Here is a 917-nt window from a genome sequence, read left to right on the forward strand (position 1 = left end):
GATCAGTGAGATGGCAAGGACCAGGGAAGCTGCCTTAGGGCCAGTGGGTTGTGAACAGGGCCGGGAAGGGAGCATAGGATCTGACCAGAGACGGAGTAGGGTGGGTACTGGGGGCTGATGAAACAACTCAGGGAGTCCAGGGCCAGCAAGGCTTGGGCTAGGACAGTGAGGAGATTGGCTGGACCAGAGAACAAGGCTGGAGGCAGAATTTCAAAGGCTGTGCTATGAAAAACATTGTTGCCCCTGACATTTCTGGGCCCCATTGTGAAAGGGACGCTTGGAGAGGATGAAGCCAGTGCATGGACTGCTTAGAGGCCAGCAGCTTGGAGGCTGTGTTCTGAGGAGGTGAAGGTAGAAATGAACACATATTGAATGCCTACAATGAGTCAGGCTGTGCTGGGGTTTTTTGGTTTTTGTTTTTTGAATCTGAGGAAATGGAAAATGAAAGAAGTTCCCCCTTTAGGTGCTGGGCCCCAACAGGTTCAGGGTACTGGATGAACAGAGAGGGCAAAAGCAGGGCATGTCCACACTAGAGCTGAGAAGGGGCAGAGAGGAGGGGTTTCTCCAGGGGCAGTGCACTGGAGAGCCAGCTACATGGCCAGGAAGGCTGTGCATGGTGCCAGCAGCTGCATGGCCAAAGGTTCGCCACACACAGAAATGGGGTTATTCTGGATTGGGGAAGGGACACTGGCAGGGGCATTCACAGCAGGCTGAATTAGCAACTGGGAGGCAGAAACGTGTGTAGGCAGGAGCACTGGGGTTAGAGGCGCAAGGAAGGATGGCTCCCCTCCTTAGTGAAGGAGAGAAACAAGAAAGCAGCATGCAGCAAGAATACTTCACCCTATTCCACTTTCTCTCATCTTTTTCACTCTCTCCCAAGTTCCTCCTGTCAGGATCTATTGACTTCAAGTTATACT

At 52.5% G+C, this 917-nt stretch overlaps 1 annotated feature.

Moving 5' to 3' along the window:
- Positions 243-572: an enhancer, noted in NCBI's record as "active region_4639". NCBI's record gives its function as "activates an Ori minimal core promoter by ATAC-STARR-seq in GM12878 lymphoblastoid cells {active_cell/tissue: GM12878}" and the evidence as "EXISTENCE:reporter gene assay evidence [ECO:0000049][PMID:35858748]".

This window comes from Homo sapiens, chromosome 11, assembly GCF_000001405.40.
Source record: "Homo sapiens chromosome 11, GRCh38.p14 Primary Assembly".
Classification (NCBI taxonomy): Eukaryota; Metazoa; Chordata; class Mammalia; order Primates; family Hominidae; genus Homo; species Homo sapiens.